Below are 15,002 nucleotides of genomic sequence, written 5' to 3'. Positions count from 1 at the left end.
CCATTAGACTGGGGAGGGTAGGCACTGAGTGTATCTGGCTTTGAATGTGGCTGAATAAATATTCCTGACATATGCTCAAAATCTCCTTTCCCTCTCAGGGAGCCTGGCCTGCATAGGAATTGGCATTGCTTGGTGATAATTTTCTTTCCTACTTGACTGCAAAATATGTCCATCTGTCTCTTGGACCTTCCGGTTCCCACTCTACTGGTCATAATGAGTCAATGTCTATAGGACCTGATTACACAACAATTTAGTAGTGACTTTATAACACACCCCACAAATTAACCAGGAAGAATTTCCATTCTCAGAGGACTTGGTTGCTTTACGGACTTTTCTTTGACATGATTGAGGATGTTAAGGCTGGGACTTAAAAATGCCTTTCTTTGGCTCAGGGTAGGAAAGAACATTGGGGTGATGCTGTTATTTGCTATACAAATATTTACTTTTATTGTTGTGTTACTGACCTTCCAACAGATTTTCTGTGGGCAGTAGAGCATTGTGAAAAGATTGTTGTTTTTGGAGTCAGGCAGATTTGAATTTAAATCCCAGTTCTAACAGTTACTAGCCATGAGGTATCTCATTGAGAACTTGGAAAAATGGTGCTTGTTTTGTAGGGTTAGTCCATCTCTAGATACTAGAGCTTAGAGTGCCTGATACATTGTAAGGGCCAAATATGTGGTTGGTAGGTTACAGTGAGGATTATCATTGCCAAATTTCAAAAGTGAAAATTGATGGCCACAGAAGCCAGATAATTTACTTTAAAAATTCACTGTGAGATAGTGCTCAGGAGAAATGGATATAGCTTGTTTTTTATTTTTATTTTATTTATTTATTTATTTTTTGAGACAGTTTCATTCTGTCGCCCAGGCTGGAGTGCAGTGGTGTGGTCTTGGCTCACTGCAACCTCCAACTCCCAAGTTCAAGCGATTCTCCTGCCTCAGCCTCCCAAGTAGCTGGGATTACAGGCACGCGCCACCATGCCTGGCTAATTTTTGTATGTTTAGTAGAGACAGGGTTTCGCCATGTTGGCCAGGCTGGTCTTGAATTCCTGACCTCAGGTGATCTGCCCACCTTGGCCTCCCAAAGTGTTGGGGTTACAGGCATGATCCACTGTGCCTGGCTGGATATAGCTCTTTTAAACTTCATAGAGAGGCAAACTTCTAGGAATGCTGGAGAAAGATTAATATTCAGGAACATATGGGCATTGACTCTAGTTTCTCTACTACCCTAAGATGTAGCTTTGTCAATGAATATGTTATAGAACCTGAAGAGCTTGGCATTGAAATACATTCCCTTATGTGGAGGTACATGGATTATTAGTGTAAGTTCTGATGTGGCAAAGTCAGCTTTAAGTTTAAAATGGCACTGGTTTAGCGAGAATTCGGTAGCTTTCTAGGACCCTTGCTTGCTTGGGGAATGTCTGTACCAGCTGCAGGTTCTATGAGGGTTAGAGAAGCCAGACCAAAGTACACAGCATCTACTGCTATTGTGGGTGGAATTTCCCTTCTGCTAAGAATGACAAGTTTTTAACAATGGGAATGTAAAGCAGATGTGTCTGAGGCTCTGCCTGCTACTTGGAACGCCCTGGAAACACTGCAATCCCTCTGCCCCGTGGTTCTCACACTAGCCTCGTGTTAGAATCACCTGGGAAGTGGTTAAAAAAGGCTGATGCCTGGATCCCCCATCAGATCAATTAAATAAGGAAGGGGACACACACACACACACACACACACACACACACACAGACAACTCTCTAGCTGAGTTGAATGTCTCAGGGTTGAAAATCACTGCTGGCCCAAATTTCTCAATACTCAATACTTTATAAAATTTCAGGAGCTTACCTGCAGCAAATAGAAGAGAGAATAAGTTATAGAAGAGCTTATATCTCTGCTTTGGTGTATTTGGCTGAGGGCATTGGTCTGGGAATTAGGCCTTGTTGCTACCATCACCTGGAATAGGCAGCTCACTGTTTTTTAAACTGTTAAAACCCCAGGGAAGGCTAGGTGATGGGTTCTGGGAATGGGTTGTCAAGATTTGTCATTTTCAATGCTGCGTTTTTAGGAAATACTCCTCTTAGAGTGCCTCTCTTGGGCCTGCTGGTTTGGCAGCTTTATATCCAGCACTTAGATCTCCTTCTGATCTCAGAGAGCAGAAGACAGCTCTATCGGCAAAGGCAGTGCGAAAGCCAGCCCCTGCAATGGGCTGCTCGATTGTCATCCTCACAGGGATGATGCCCCTCCTGGGTAGGCACCTGCCATGTGAGTGTTAACTGAGTAGGTGGCTCCCACCTCTTCCATAGCCCTTGTGGAGGACTCAAGATCACATGTCTTGGAACTGAAGGGGCTCAGGAGATGTGTTGGGTCACTCCACCCAGTGGGGGAAGACTGAGGCCCAGAGAGGCCACCCCGACAGGTGCACAGGGTTGGGTTGAAGCAGTTGGCCACAGTGCAGGTCCTCAAGCCTAGGTTAGGGTTTTTCTCATCTTTTTTATTCCCTCCACTTTAAAAAAAATTATTTTAAATGGTTCTGAGTCATATCCACTTTTTTTTATTCCTTGGTTTCTCTGGCTTTCTCTTTTCCTAGCTTCCTTCTGACTCCATCCTCTCCCATTTTCCCCTATTTTTCTTTTCGATTTTGTCATCTTAGTTCCTATGTTCTTTGTTTTGCTTTGATCGAAGTGCTCTGACAGGAAAAGATCATTAATTTTTCTTAGATTCAAGCAATCTGTTCCAGTGAACAAGGTTAATGTTTAAAGTTTGTGATCTGTAGTTCAAAAATGTAAAAAATTAGGTCAAAAGCAGAAAAAAAAAAGAAAGGAAAACGGATGGAAAGAAAACTCAAAGTTCACCATTTCTGAACTCCTTCACAGAGGCAGATGCTGTCAGGTGGAGAGGGGAATGAGGCCATTGTTTCCCAAACTCTTCACAGATGGCAAGAGATGATGTTGGACAACTAGATTGCAGTGTGAAAGCTCATTTGAAGAAAACTTCTTGTGGCATCTCAGCAGGAGAGCGTTTTTATGAACAGGATGGTTATTGCCTGCCTGGCTGGAATTTTTTATTTTCTGCGTCATTCTATTTGAAATCATGGGGATTTGACCAGAGGATATTTCCCTCCGTGTGTATGACATTTTGTATTTGGGATAATAAGTACCTTCTCTCCAAACAATTTAGGATGTAAAAATGTACTAAAGTGACATGTATTTTTTCCCTCAGATATTACCAGATTAATCTCTATGAAAGCAGAAAAAGGAGAAAATGTAGATCTGAATGTATTTTTTGTTCAATATCTTTTTTGCTTCCTGAAACTTCCTGGAAGGAAGAGATTATTATGAAATTCTCTGGAAGGACAAAATCTGTGTTCCAGTCTTGGGGAGAACATGACCCCTCTTAAAGTGTTTTCTAACAGGCTGCAGTAGTGGATGTTAATTTAGTTTTGGTGTTCAGTATCCATCCATTCACCCTTTGTGGAATCCTCTCTTCTCCAGGATCAGGTCATTTAGTAAAATAAAGCTGGTCTTATGCCCAGCTCTATCTAGGGAGCATATAACCCAGGATTAAGTCACATGCGTGCAGTCTTCTCCTGCCTATAGTGACTGGTTGGAGATTGGCATGTGATCCTGGGGAGCCAATGAGGCTACTGAGGGAGAAATATGTCCTGTTTTTCCACTTGAACCTGAAAGGATATGTGCTGTAGTTGTAGCCAATTATAAAGAGAAAGCCCATTTGAGAGTGAACTGACACAGAAGGTGAAACCTGATTGATAGAAAATAGATAATGTTTGAATATACTCAGAGGAGACTTAGACAATTGCTCAGAGTTGGGGATAAATTAGTGGAGATCAGTGTGGGCTGAATTGTGCTCTCGCTGCCACCTCCAACTAAAGATATGTTGAAGTCCTAACTCTGGGTACCTGGGAACATGACTTATTGGAAACAGGGTCTTTGTAGACATAATTAAGAAGTCAGTTAAAAATGAGGTCATACAAGAGTAGAGTAGGCCCTTAATCCAAGATGACTGGTGTTCTTATAACAAGAGAAGAGACACAGAGACAGACACACATAGAGAAGAGATGCCATGTGAAGACAGACACACACGTGGAAAAAGGCCACATAGGCCAGGTGCAGTAGCCCACAACTGTAAACCCAGCACTGTGGGAGGCTGAGGTGGGAGGATTGCTTGAGGCCAGGAGTTTGAGACCAGCCTGGGCAACATAGTGAGACCCTGTCTCTCCAAAAAAAAAAAAAAATTAGCTAGAAGTGGTGGCATGTACCTGTACTCCTAGCTACTTGGGAGGCTGAGGTGGGAGGAGGAAGGCTTGAGCCCAGGAAATTGAGGCTGCAGTTAGCCATGATCATGCCAATGCACTCCAGTCTGGGCAACAGAGTGAGACCCTGTTAAAAAAAAAAAAGTAAAAAAGGAAAAGGCCATATAACAAGTAACAAGGCAGAGATTGGAGTGACACATCTGCAAGCCAAGGGCTGCTGAGGATTGCTGGCAAATGCCAAAAGCTGAAGGGGGCAGGAAGAGCCTGCAGAGAGGGCATGGCCTTGGTGATAACTTAATTTTAGACTTTTAGTCTCCAGAACTATAAGACAATAAACTTCTGTTGTTTAAAGCCACCTGGTTTGTGGTACTTGGTTATGGCAGTCCTAGGAAACTAATATAATCAATACATATAAAACATAGCATGTGAAGAAAAGACTGTTTTTTTAATTCCAGGGAAAATATAAACTTGTTCAGGAAAGGAAATGTGAACAGGATATACCACATGGCTTTGTGGTCAAGAATTTAATAGTTATAGCTCTATAAATATTGATTATTGCTCTTACCAAAATTATACTGGGAAGTATATATGTATGGTGGGGTTGTGTATGTGTGTGCGGGTACTTATGAAGTCATCTTCCATAGTGCAAAGTCAATATATGAAGCTTAAACTAAAAAATCAAGAGGCAGCAACATGAACATGACATTTAGAGATATAGAGGTAAAAAGTAAATGGTTCAGTTAAAAGAGCTGGAAGTATCTGCCTTCTGGGAGCAGGAAACACGAGGTAGGGACTGCTTGGACTGCTGTAGAACAGTTTGACTCTTTATACTATGTGCATGAATTACTTTGATATAAAGAAAAACTGCTTTAAAAAGGAGAAGAAAATTTGAACCTGTGAAACAAACTACTTGTAGAACTATGGAATGTGATGACTTTGGATAAAAGTATGACATTAGGTACATTTATTTTGGGGCTAGTTGCTAATACCTCTTATTTTCTAGGCAGTGAGGGGGTGGGAGTGGAAGGGAGGGGGTCAAAATTCCTCCATGAAGCCTTTACATCTCCCCTTCTCCTATATCCAAGTCCCACTCTTATAAAAGAATAAAACCTCCATTACTCTAAGTTTATAATTACTGTTTAAAAACACAAAGTTCATTTTTACAGGGATCTTTCCTTAAGGCTGAAGGAGGTTCTAAAGATGAAATTTCCTTCTATGTATGATTCCTTGGGGTGGGAGTCACAGGCATTTTCTTATCCCACTGGAATTCTGAGTCGCATAAGTTTGTTTCTGACTAGTAACTAGGAGCTCAGTGTCTTTGGCCTCTCACACTGACCTTAAGGCAAATGCCTTTGAACCGTCCACTCCAGTCTGTCAATCCTCCTTGAAGAATGGTCCAGCCTGCACTGCTGCTTTTTACCATCAGGGGGCAGTGGGGCCATGAGTGCCCAGGGAGACAGGGAAGGATGCTTAGCACCTGGCGAGTGGGAGGAAGTGTCTCTCAGTGTTTGCACTTAAAGCATCTCAGTAGCTAGATACTTCATTGGTACGAATGGTGTATTTTCTTCTAAATTTTGTGCAATCCAAAAAGGCAGGAAGTTTGATCTTAATGCATTTTCCATGGTCATCTATTTCACTCTGAGCCAAGAATTTATTAGGAAAACGAAAAGAATTGCAAGAATAACTTTAGATTGACATTTCTCCATTTTCCTACTTGTCGAATAGGTTTGGTACGTGTTCTGAAGGAACACGGTGCCAGTTGAAATGGTGCTCTGCTTTCTTCCCTGTTATTCTGAAATAGATGTGCTTTTCACACACATGGATAGACCATTTACTCCTGATTTGTATCTCAGGGACAAATCTGACTTATTAACACCATTATTTGTAAACTGCTAGCCTGGTTTCCTGTGCTGTTGTAACGCTATCTTGATGGGTTGCTGTGAAAATGTGAAGATGTCTGTCAGGCAGGAAAAATTATGTAAAAATGATGTGGGTATAGAAAATGGGATCGACAAAATGTAATAAACTCCTCCTGGGCTGAACAGCAGAGCTGCATATGTAATGAAGTACTTTAGGATTACGTCACCTTTTATATAACATCTGGCAGTGACTTTTATTTCAGAGCTAATTTGGAGAAGCCAGGCACTTTTCTCTTCCCCTCCCCAAGACTGCCTTTATCTGAAAGACGAAAGAAGGAACTGTTACATTTTGCATGCAAAGAAAGCCAGAGTGGCTAGATTACTCCCTTAGGGTAATGGAGAAAGGAAAAAGAAATTGAAAAAGGTCAGGTGAACAAAGCAGAAGGAATGAAGAGGTTTGTGTGATTCTTAGTGAAATTGGACCAGTCTAAGCAACCAGACAGGTAATCTGGGTGACTCTACCCCTCCTTCTTCCCTCCTGTGCCCCTCCCTTGGCTGTGGCTCTATAGGTATGACCCAAGAATACTATGGAAATAGCATTTCCTTAAATATTTTGTCTGAAGTGAAGGGTTGAAAAAATTATTGAGATAATTTGGGAAAATCCTAAAATTTGTCCCTTTAGCCTTTGAGAAAAAGCTCAAAGCTCAAACACCTCTCTCCCCCAGTAATATCCAGACATTGATCTATAACAATAGATTATTCAGATGGTCAACTTGCTGCTTTAATTTGTCTATATAGGAAATGGTGAAAAGTCTTTTATGAAATTGAATGGGAATTCACTCCTTTGAAGCCAGGGACACAGGAGGGATGAAGACCCTCTTTGTACTTCCCCCTTTCCTTCCCTCATAGCTTCTGGGTCTGTGCTTGCCTTGGTGCAACCTGGACCTTGCTGGACCATGTTTGCTGACCTCCATGTTCTCTTTCATCACGTGTTTTTTGAATCTTCCATTATTGTGTCAACCCTGGACATGCTCTTGTCTGAATTTCAAGGCCATGTCTACAGTTCAGAAGAGGTAGTGTCTTCCTTACGTATCTAATGGGTTCCCAAAAATGTGTTTGAAAGTTAGTTGGATGTTTGAAAGTCGAACAATAGATTTGCATGTTGTAAGGAAGAATTTGTTCTCAATTCTAGCTAAAGTATATGATGAAATCCCTAATTATGGTTTCTGCCAGTGCCACCTCCCTCAGGCCTTGGCAACCCTGTGGGTGGGTGAGAACAGGCACATGGCTGGAGTGGGTGGCAACTGCCAGTCGTTGTGGGCTGAGGAAGTTAATCCAGGAATCTCTCCTTCCAAGACTTAGCCCTCCTTCCCTCATCCCAGCCTGAAAGGGCAAGGGCTGGAGTAGAGGGTCTGGTTCTTTTTTTTTTTTTTTTTTTTTTTTTGAGACAGAGTTTTTCTCTGTCACCCATGCTGGAGTGCAGTGGCTTGATCTTGGCTCATGGCAAACTCCGCCTCCTGGGTTCAAGCTATCCTCTTGCCTCAGCCTCCCAAGTACCGAGATTACAGGCTCAAGCCACCATGCCTGGCTAATTTTTTGTATTTTTAGTACAGATGGGGTTTCACCATGTTGGCCAGGCTGACTTACTTCGAACTCCTCACCTCAAGTGATCTGCCTGCCTCAGCCTCCCAAAGTCCTGGGATTACAGGTGTGAGTTACCACACCTGGCTGAGGGTCTGGTTCTTAACCTACCTCCAGGAATAACCACATGTGACACCCATGAGGTGGTGGACATGGCATTGGTGGACATGGGCAGAGTACTGGAGTGGTTGGGGCTGGTCAAATGACACCCTGAGAAATGGTGGTCCTGTGTGAGCTGAGAAACTCCAGGATCCCTGGCCATGATCTCTGGAGTTCTGTCTGGCAGTACTGGCCAATGGAGACTTATCTCTGGCTGGAAAGGAGGTGCTGGAAAATTCTTCTGTTGTCTTAACTTGAACCTGGCCCCTTCTCCTAGTAGCTGTGTCTGCCTGGCATGAGATTGTTCTATCAATAATCTAAGGTAATTCAGGAAAGATTGAATTTTGAGTATTAAAGGTTTGCAGATGCTAGTGTTTAATTTTTGATAGTGTGGTGTCTTGGTTATGTATTGCGGCATAGCATACTACCCCAAAACTTAGTGTCTTAAAACCATATTTTAATTATCTCACAAGTTCCTTGGTCAGGAATTTGCTCAGTGCTTGGTTGGGTGATTCTTCTGCTTCACATGGCATTGACTGGAGTCACTTAACAGTCTGGTGTGGGCTGAAGCATCCAAGATGGCTTCCCTCATATGCCTAGTGTCTTGACAGGAATGGCTGACAGGCTTTGTGCCCTTCTCCCTCTCGATGTAGTCTTAGAGTATCTCTACGTGTTCTCTTTAGAATGCCAGTTGGACTCTTACATAGTGGCTCACTTAGGACTCTGCCGGTTATTTTAGAGACTAGGGTTGGAATTGGCATAGCACCAATTCTGTGATACTCCATTGGTCAAAGCAGTCACAGGACAGCCCAGAATCAAGAATAATGGAAACAGATCCCTTCTCCACAGGAGAGGAGTGTCAAAGAATTTGTAGCCATCTTTGATCCACCACATGGGGGTTGCATAACTATAGAATGTGTGGAACTGAAGCAACAAAGAAAATATGTGGGGGAAACACATTTCCTGTCTTTCCTAGCTAGGAATCAGAAGGACTAAGCTTCCTTTTCTGCTGTCACCCGAGGCAAATGTTTTACTAAACTAGGGCAATATTGAGGTTTGTATCCCGCTTCATGCTTTTGATTCAAAATACAGCTCTTGTTAAAGTGCTTGGGAACTCTGCTGGTGGGTACACTGGAAAAACATAAGTGGATAACGTCTGAAGGATACTTTGGAGATGATACTGGCAAATTTCCAAAGGAAGAGTTGGGAACATTTCTCGTTTTCTCCATTGTATCACGCAGCTGTGCCAATGACTAAACAAGCAATGGATTATGCAGGTTTTGAAAACTTTTCAGGTTTTTCCTTTTGTCTATAGCAGAGCAGGGAGGGGGAGAGAATTGGTTTTTAAAGTCTAATTTAACTACGTTTAATTTCCTTTGTCTCTAAGTTTGATATACAAGATTTCAGCAAAATCTTTAGCAAAAATGATAGCAATAGTGTGTTGCTTATTATTGCAGATATGATGCAATACTGGCAGCGTCATGGGGTCCTCTTTCAGGCACTCATTTAACTAGTTTTTGAAGAGATAATTTGTGCACATAGTACAAATTTTAAGGGAAAAACAAGGCACCAAATACAAACCCCCCCCGCCCAATTTCCATTCCTGAGTCCCTCATGTCCCTTCCTCAGAGACAGTTGCTCTTTATTGTATATCCTTCTGGACAAATTCTCTTTTTTTTCTTTTTTCGAGATGGAGTCTCACTCTGCCACCCAGGCTGGCGTGCAGTGGCACAATGTTGGTTCACTGCAACCTCTGCCTCCCAGGTTCAAGTGATTCTCCTGCCTCAGCCTCTCAAGTAGCTGGGACTACAGTCACATGCCACCATGCCTGGTTAATTTTTGTATTTTTAGTAGAGATGGGGTTTTGCCATGTTGGCCAGGCTGGTCTTAAATTCCTGACTTCAGGTGATCTGCCCACCTTGGCCTCCCAAAGTGCTGGGATTACAGCTGTGAGCCACCATCTCCCACCCTTCCAGACAAATTCTATACATATACAAATATCCACTCTCTCTCTGTGTATGTATAATTGTAGGATATTTGGTTATATATCTTTTTCCCTCACAAACAGAAGCATACTGTATACGGTTTGCACCTTGCTTTTTCATGAAATGATGAACTGCAAATTGTTCTGTATCAGTAAATCTAGATTAACTCCTTTTTTCCCAAGAGCTACATAGTATTTTATTGCATCATCCTCTTTTTTTTTAAAAAAAAAACAAAAAAACAAAAAAACAAAAAACAGCCAGGTGCGGTGGCTCATGCCTGTAATCCCAGCACTTTGGGAGGCCAAGGCGGCAGATCACAAGGTCAAGAGATCGAGACCAAGAGATCAAGACCATCCTGGCCAACATGGTAAAACCCCGTCTCTACTAAAGATACAAAAAAATAGCTGGGCATGGTGGCATGTGCCTGTAGTCCCAGCTACTCAGGAGGCTGAGGTAAGAGAATCGCTTCAACCTGGGAGGCAGATGTTGCAGTGAGCAGAGATCATGCCACTGCACACCAGCCTGGCGACAGAGTGAGACTCTGTCTCAAAAAAAAAAAAACAAAAAAAACAGAAAAAACCACAAATAAACAAAAAAAACTAGTCTCCGGTTTATGGTTATCTGGTTATCTAGGTTGTTTCCAATCTTTTGCTATTATGAATAACATCAAAATGAATAGTCTTAAGCATGCATATTTTTGCATATGTGCAACTATATCTAGAATGGGATTGTGGGGTTGAGGAGTATGAACATTGTAATTTTGATATCTATTACAAATGATCCTCCATAGAGATTCTATTAGTTTACATTCTGCCAATCAGCTTTTGTTTTAGATTCTGGGGATTGTCAGTGGAATTTGTTCTGAGGGGGTCAAAGGTTAAGAAACAAGCTGTAAGATTGAACAAGAAAAGATCCACATTTGTGTTTTAACATCAGTCTTTATTATTTATTTATTTATTTATTTATTTATGTATTTACATTTGAGACGGAGTCTTGCTCTGTCGCCAGGCTGGAGTGCAGTGGAGTGATCTTGGCTCACTGCAACCTCTACCTCCCAGGTTCAAGCGATTATCCTGCCTCAGCCTCCCGAGTAGCTGGGACTAGAGGCGTGCACCACCACGCCCAGCTAATTTTTGTATTTTTAGTAGAGATGGGGTTTCAGCATGTTGGCCAGGATAGTCTGGATCTCTTGACCTCGTGATCTGCCCGCCTCAGTCTCTCAAAGTGCTGGGATTACAGGCGTGAGCCATTGCGCCCTGCCCATCAGCCTTTCTTTTATGAAATTTCTAAGTAGTCTACCAAATATCCTGGCAAAATGGACCAGCATCAGGTAGTTGTTGCCAGGAGAAAGCCTGTCCCATGAAAGAATGAGAAGTCTGGACTTGGAGGGGTAAGAATCTGTTTCTGGTCTGACATTGCTAGTACTCACTGTTGGATCTAAATTAAGCCAATTATCCTTTCTTTGACCTCAGTTTTCTTATTTGTTAAATGAATATTTGTAGTAGATGATCTTAGAAGAATCACTGGATCCAAAATTATTTGATTCTATGAAAATCCTTTCACTTTTTATAATTTAATAATAAGTCCTATACAGGAATAGTTGCATAACTTGCAAATCCCTGTGCAAAATGAAAATGCAGGTCCCCTGTTCAAAAATCATGTAATATTTAAAGATGGGCACAGCATTTACCCAAGTGTGGGCCCTTTTGAGCACAGGGACCCTGTGTAACTGCACAGGTGGTAAGTCTGCAAAGCTGGTCCTGCTCCTACAAAGACTCTTACCTCCAAATCAGTAGTTTATCTGTACTTAAGTATTTGGTGGCCACTTTTTACATAGAGATGCACCTGAAATTCCCACCACCCTTTTCTAAGGAAAGCTGCCTTGGTACACAGCCCCTTGCCAAAGGAAGTGGCCCTAAACTGTAAGTTGTGCAGTGGGCACCTGCTGATTGGACCAGAGGCAGCCACCTGACCCGAGGGCAACCAGTTCATAGGCTGGCAAGTAGCTTGAAGGGTGGTCTGGCAGGGAAAGCTCTGACCAGTGGGAGTTAGGTAATTACGTTGGTGAAACAGACACTCTGGAATTTGAGCTGAGAAATATGGACAGGATCAGCCAGCTAGATTGGGGGTTGGGGTTGGTGAGAGCGCGGGGGCATGTAGGTAGAGAGAAGAAGCCACATATATTGTCATGTGTAACTGACCAGTGAACCCTCATTACCTGAGGTAGCCTAAGTGAATTTATTTCTGTCCTTTGTAACCCAAAGAGCATAATTAACCCAGTGTTATGCCAGACCATAGCTGCAGCCTGTTAGTGATTAAGCCATCTAGGGAGTATGGATTAAGAATAATTAAAAGTATGGAAATAGAAAAATAGCTCCCAGTCCCCGTTTTCTCCTTCATCTGCCAGCTACTGCATTGGAATCTGCTGGCTGAGCAGCCTGCATTGGCCAGGTGAGGGGTGATCTGAGCTGGTTGAGGGGGGGCCCTTCTGTTGCTTTCCTTCTTTTTTTCGTGGCTTAGCCAACTTTCTTACATATCCCTAGGACAGTTTTTAAAAAAACTTCTCCTAAGTTATTCATGACATCTTGTTCTACTTCCAGTGGAGTAGCCCTAGGAAAAATGTAGCTGTCAGATGTGCAACAAGATACACATTTTCTTGGTATCTGTCTTTTTCTTTCTGCTGGACTATGCTAATGGATCCCTGGAGTCTGCAGCAGGATGAGGCAGTAGCTGGACCAAATGACCTCCCCAGACCTTTTGCAGTTAAGCTATGCTAAGGGAAGTATTTCAATATAGTCACTTTCCAACCCCCAATTATAGAATATCTATATAATTGTTCGATGTTTTCCCTTTCCTTCATGGCTCAATAGAGGCTGAGTTTGTTGGTCTTCAGATGAATGACCAACTAATTTGGTCAGGGATGTCTTGTAACTTATTGTTGCCAGTAATTTGCTCTCTAGGATGCATTAAAATCTGTGGTGTGTGGGCGGATTACTTATAATAACATACACTGCGCAGAGAAGACTTCTTCAATGAGGCATGCATAAAGCTGCACCATGCAAAATGGATCCTGATTCGAATGAATCACTCTGTAGCCCGAGAGCCCTTGATACACATGACACAGCACTTGGAGTGCTCATCTGACCCACAGGTGCCTCTCCACAGGGCACAGTTTAGCTGTGTTTATGGGGGTAGACTGGGTGAATAAACTGTCCAACTGGCATTAAACATGGAAAAACGGACATTTCTGTTTGCCTTTATGTTAATGCACTGCCTTCAGTGTTCTGCCCTGAAAGGGCCCAGGTCTGGGAGAAGAAACAAAGGTGAAAGGCCTAGAGTTCTATGTTTTTCCTAGCCTGGGGCATCAGCTGTACTTTACCAACACCCAGCACATATCTTGGTGAACACCTATGTATGGGTGCAGGGCCTGGCTTGAGCCTGTGGGCTATCTGGGGTGATTACCATGGAAATACAGTTGAGGCCTGTGTGACCAACATTTCTATACATGGCAAAGGGAATAATGAACCTGGTAAGATTTCCAAGCTCATTTTCCTGTGAATTCCAGGAACCTAAGCCTTTCCATGTCTGTTTTCTCTTCATAAAATGAAGATGCCAACATTGATATTACCCTAAATGCTGGGACATAACCCCCCCACATATATTACTGTAATACTTTTTGTTTACATGAAACATATCTGGGTTTTTGAAAAGAATAAAAATTGAAATATGATTTTAAAAAAGAAGTATTGGCCAGGTGTGGTGGCTCACATGTGTAATCACAGCATTTTGGGAGGCCGAGGTGGGCGGATCACCTGAGGTCAGGAGTTCGAGACTAGCCTGACCAATATGATGAAACCCTGTCTCTACTAAAAATACAAAAATTAGCCGGGCGTGGTGGCATGTGCCTGTAATCCCAGCTACTCGGGAGGCTGAGACAGGAGAATCGCTTGAACCCGGGAGGCGGAGTTTGCAGTGAGCCGAGATCTCGTCATTGCACTCCAGCCTGGGCAACAAGAGCAAAACTCTTTCTCACACACACACACACACACACACACACACACACACAAAAGAAGCATTAATATTTAAGGATATCTGGCTGACTGAAAGAGATAGTAGATCAGAAATGCTTATCTAAGTGCCTGATCACAGGAACAAACCGGGGCAGATATACATATATTTAAATTTATTAAGAGGCTGCAGTGTTAACTGATTAGTAGGTGGGGTGGACCAGGACAATGTCATTTATTTAGGCATTTAAAGCATTCTCTGTAAAATGTATCCTAAGAGTCATAAACTCAACCTGGCAATAGTAAGTGTGAGGGAAAAACTCCCATGGATTAGAAGCTGATTATCTTGAGGAAGCCCAGAGATGAAGTTCATGGCTAATTCCTAGGATGCCAAGGATTAATGGCAGATGACCACAGTGCTCTCCTGTAGTTTATTTTATCATTTGGTTTATTTTATCATTTCTGTTTCCCATTAGGTTAGAGAACATTCTTATAAACATAACTATTTCACAGCTCACATGCCAAGTCATGAAGTAACGCCATTTAATTTACAACCGAATATGGATCTGTCGCTGACCTTTCCCATTTTTACAGAATCATGGATTCTTCTGAAAAATCCTCAAAGAGAACAACATAGATGGCAGAAGCAGGACATAGGGCTTTCTCAGGTGTCATTAAAGTCTCCTGCTTCTTGACGAGGCCACCAGGACTCTGCAGTTGGCCAGTGATGTGGCTCTCTGACTCCAAGGCAAGGCTGGAGATGGCTGCCCATATGAGCCTGCAGGCTCTAGTGTGAACCAAGAGAGGGCACACAAAATTTGTGGATTACATGAAGTGTCAGTGAACAACAGAAGTTAGACAAAACTGTGAGAAATTTCAGAGGCCAGAATGAATGAGGAATTGGTCAATATGGTGTAATGTTCCCTTTAAACAATTGCTCCACCCCCATCTAGCCTGGTTGCGAAATGTTCAAACAACATAACAGAATATAGAATAAAAAGTGAACATTTTCTGGGCCAGGTGTGGTGGCTCACACCTGTAATTCCAGCACTTTGGGAGGCCGAGGTGGGTGGATAACTTGAGGTCAGGAGTTCAAGACCAGACTGGCTAACATGGCGAAACCCCATCTGTACTAAAAATACAAA

At 42.5% G+C, this 15,002-nt stretch overlaps 2 long non-coding RNA genes across 2 annotated transcripts in view; both read left to right on the top strand.

Annotated features, from left to right (window-relative positions):
- The window catches only part of LINC02198 (long intergenic non-protein coding RNA 2198), a 62,187-nt gene that overhangs the window by 16,273 nt on the left and 30,912 nt on the right, over positions 1-15,002 (top strand). The gene's annotated exons all lie outside the window — the stretch shown is intronic.
- The window catches only part of LOC107984116 (uncharacterized), a 46,646-nt gene continuing 38,113 nt past the window's right edge, over positions 6,470-15,002 (top strand). Inside the window, exon 1 of the long non-coding RNA XR_001742709.2 lies at positions 6,470-6,628. This is a non-coding gene — a long non-coding RNA (uncharacterized LOC107984116). The remainder of the gene's footprint in view (positions 6,629-15,002) is intronic.

The sequence above is a fragment of the Homo sapiens genome, chromosome 5 (genome assembly GCF_000001405.40).
Source record: "Homo sapiens chromosome 5, GRCh38.p14 Primary Assembly".
In the NCBI taxonomy this organism is placed as follows: domain Eukaryota; kingdom Metazoa; phylum Chordata; class Mammalia; order Primates; family Hominidae; genus Homo; species Homo sapiens.
The sequence above is the reverse complement of the archived record's forward strand: the minus strand, read 5'-3'. Positions and strand labels throughout refer to the sequence as shown.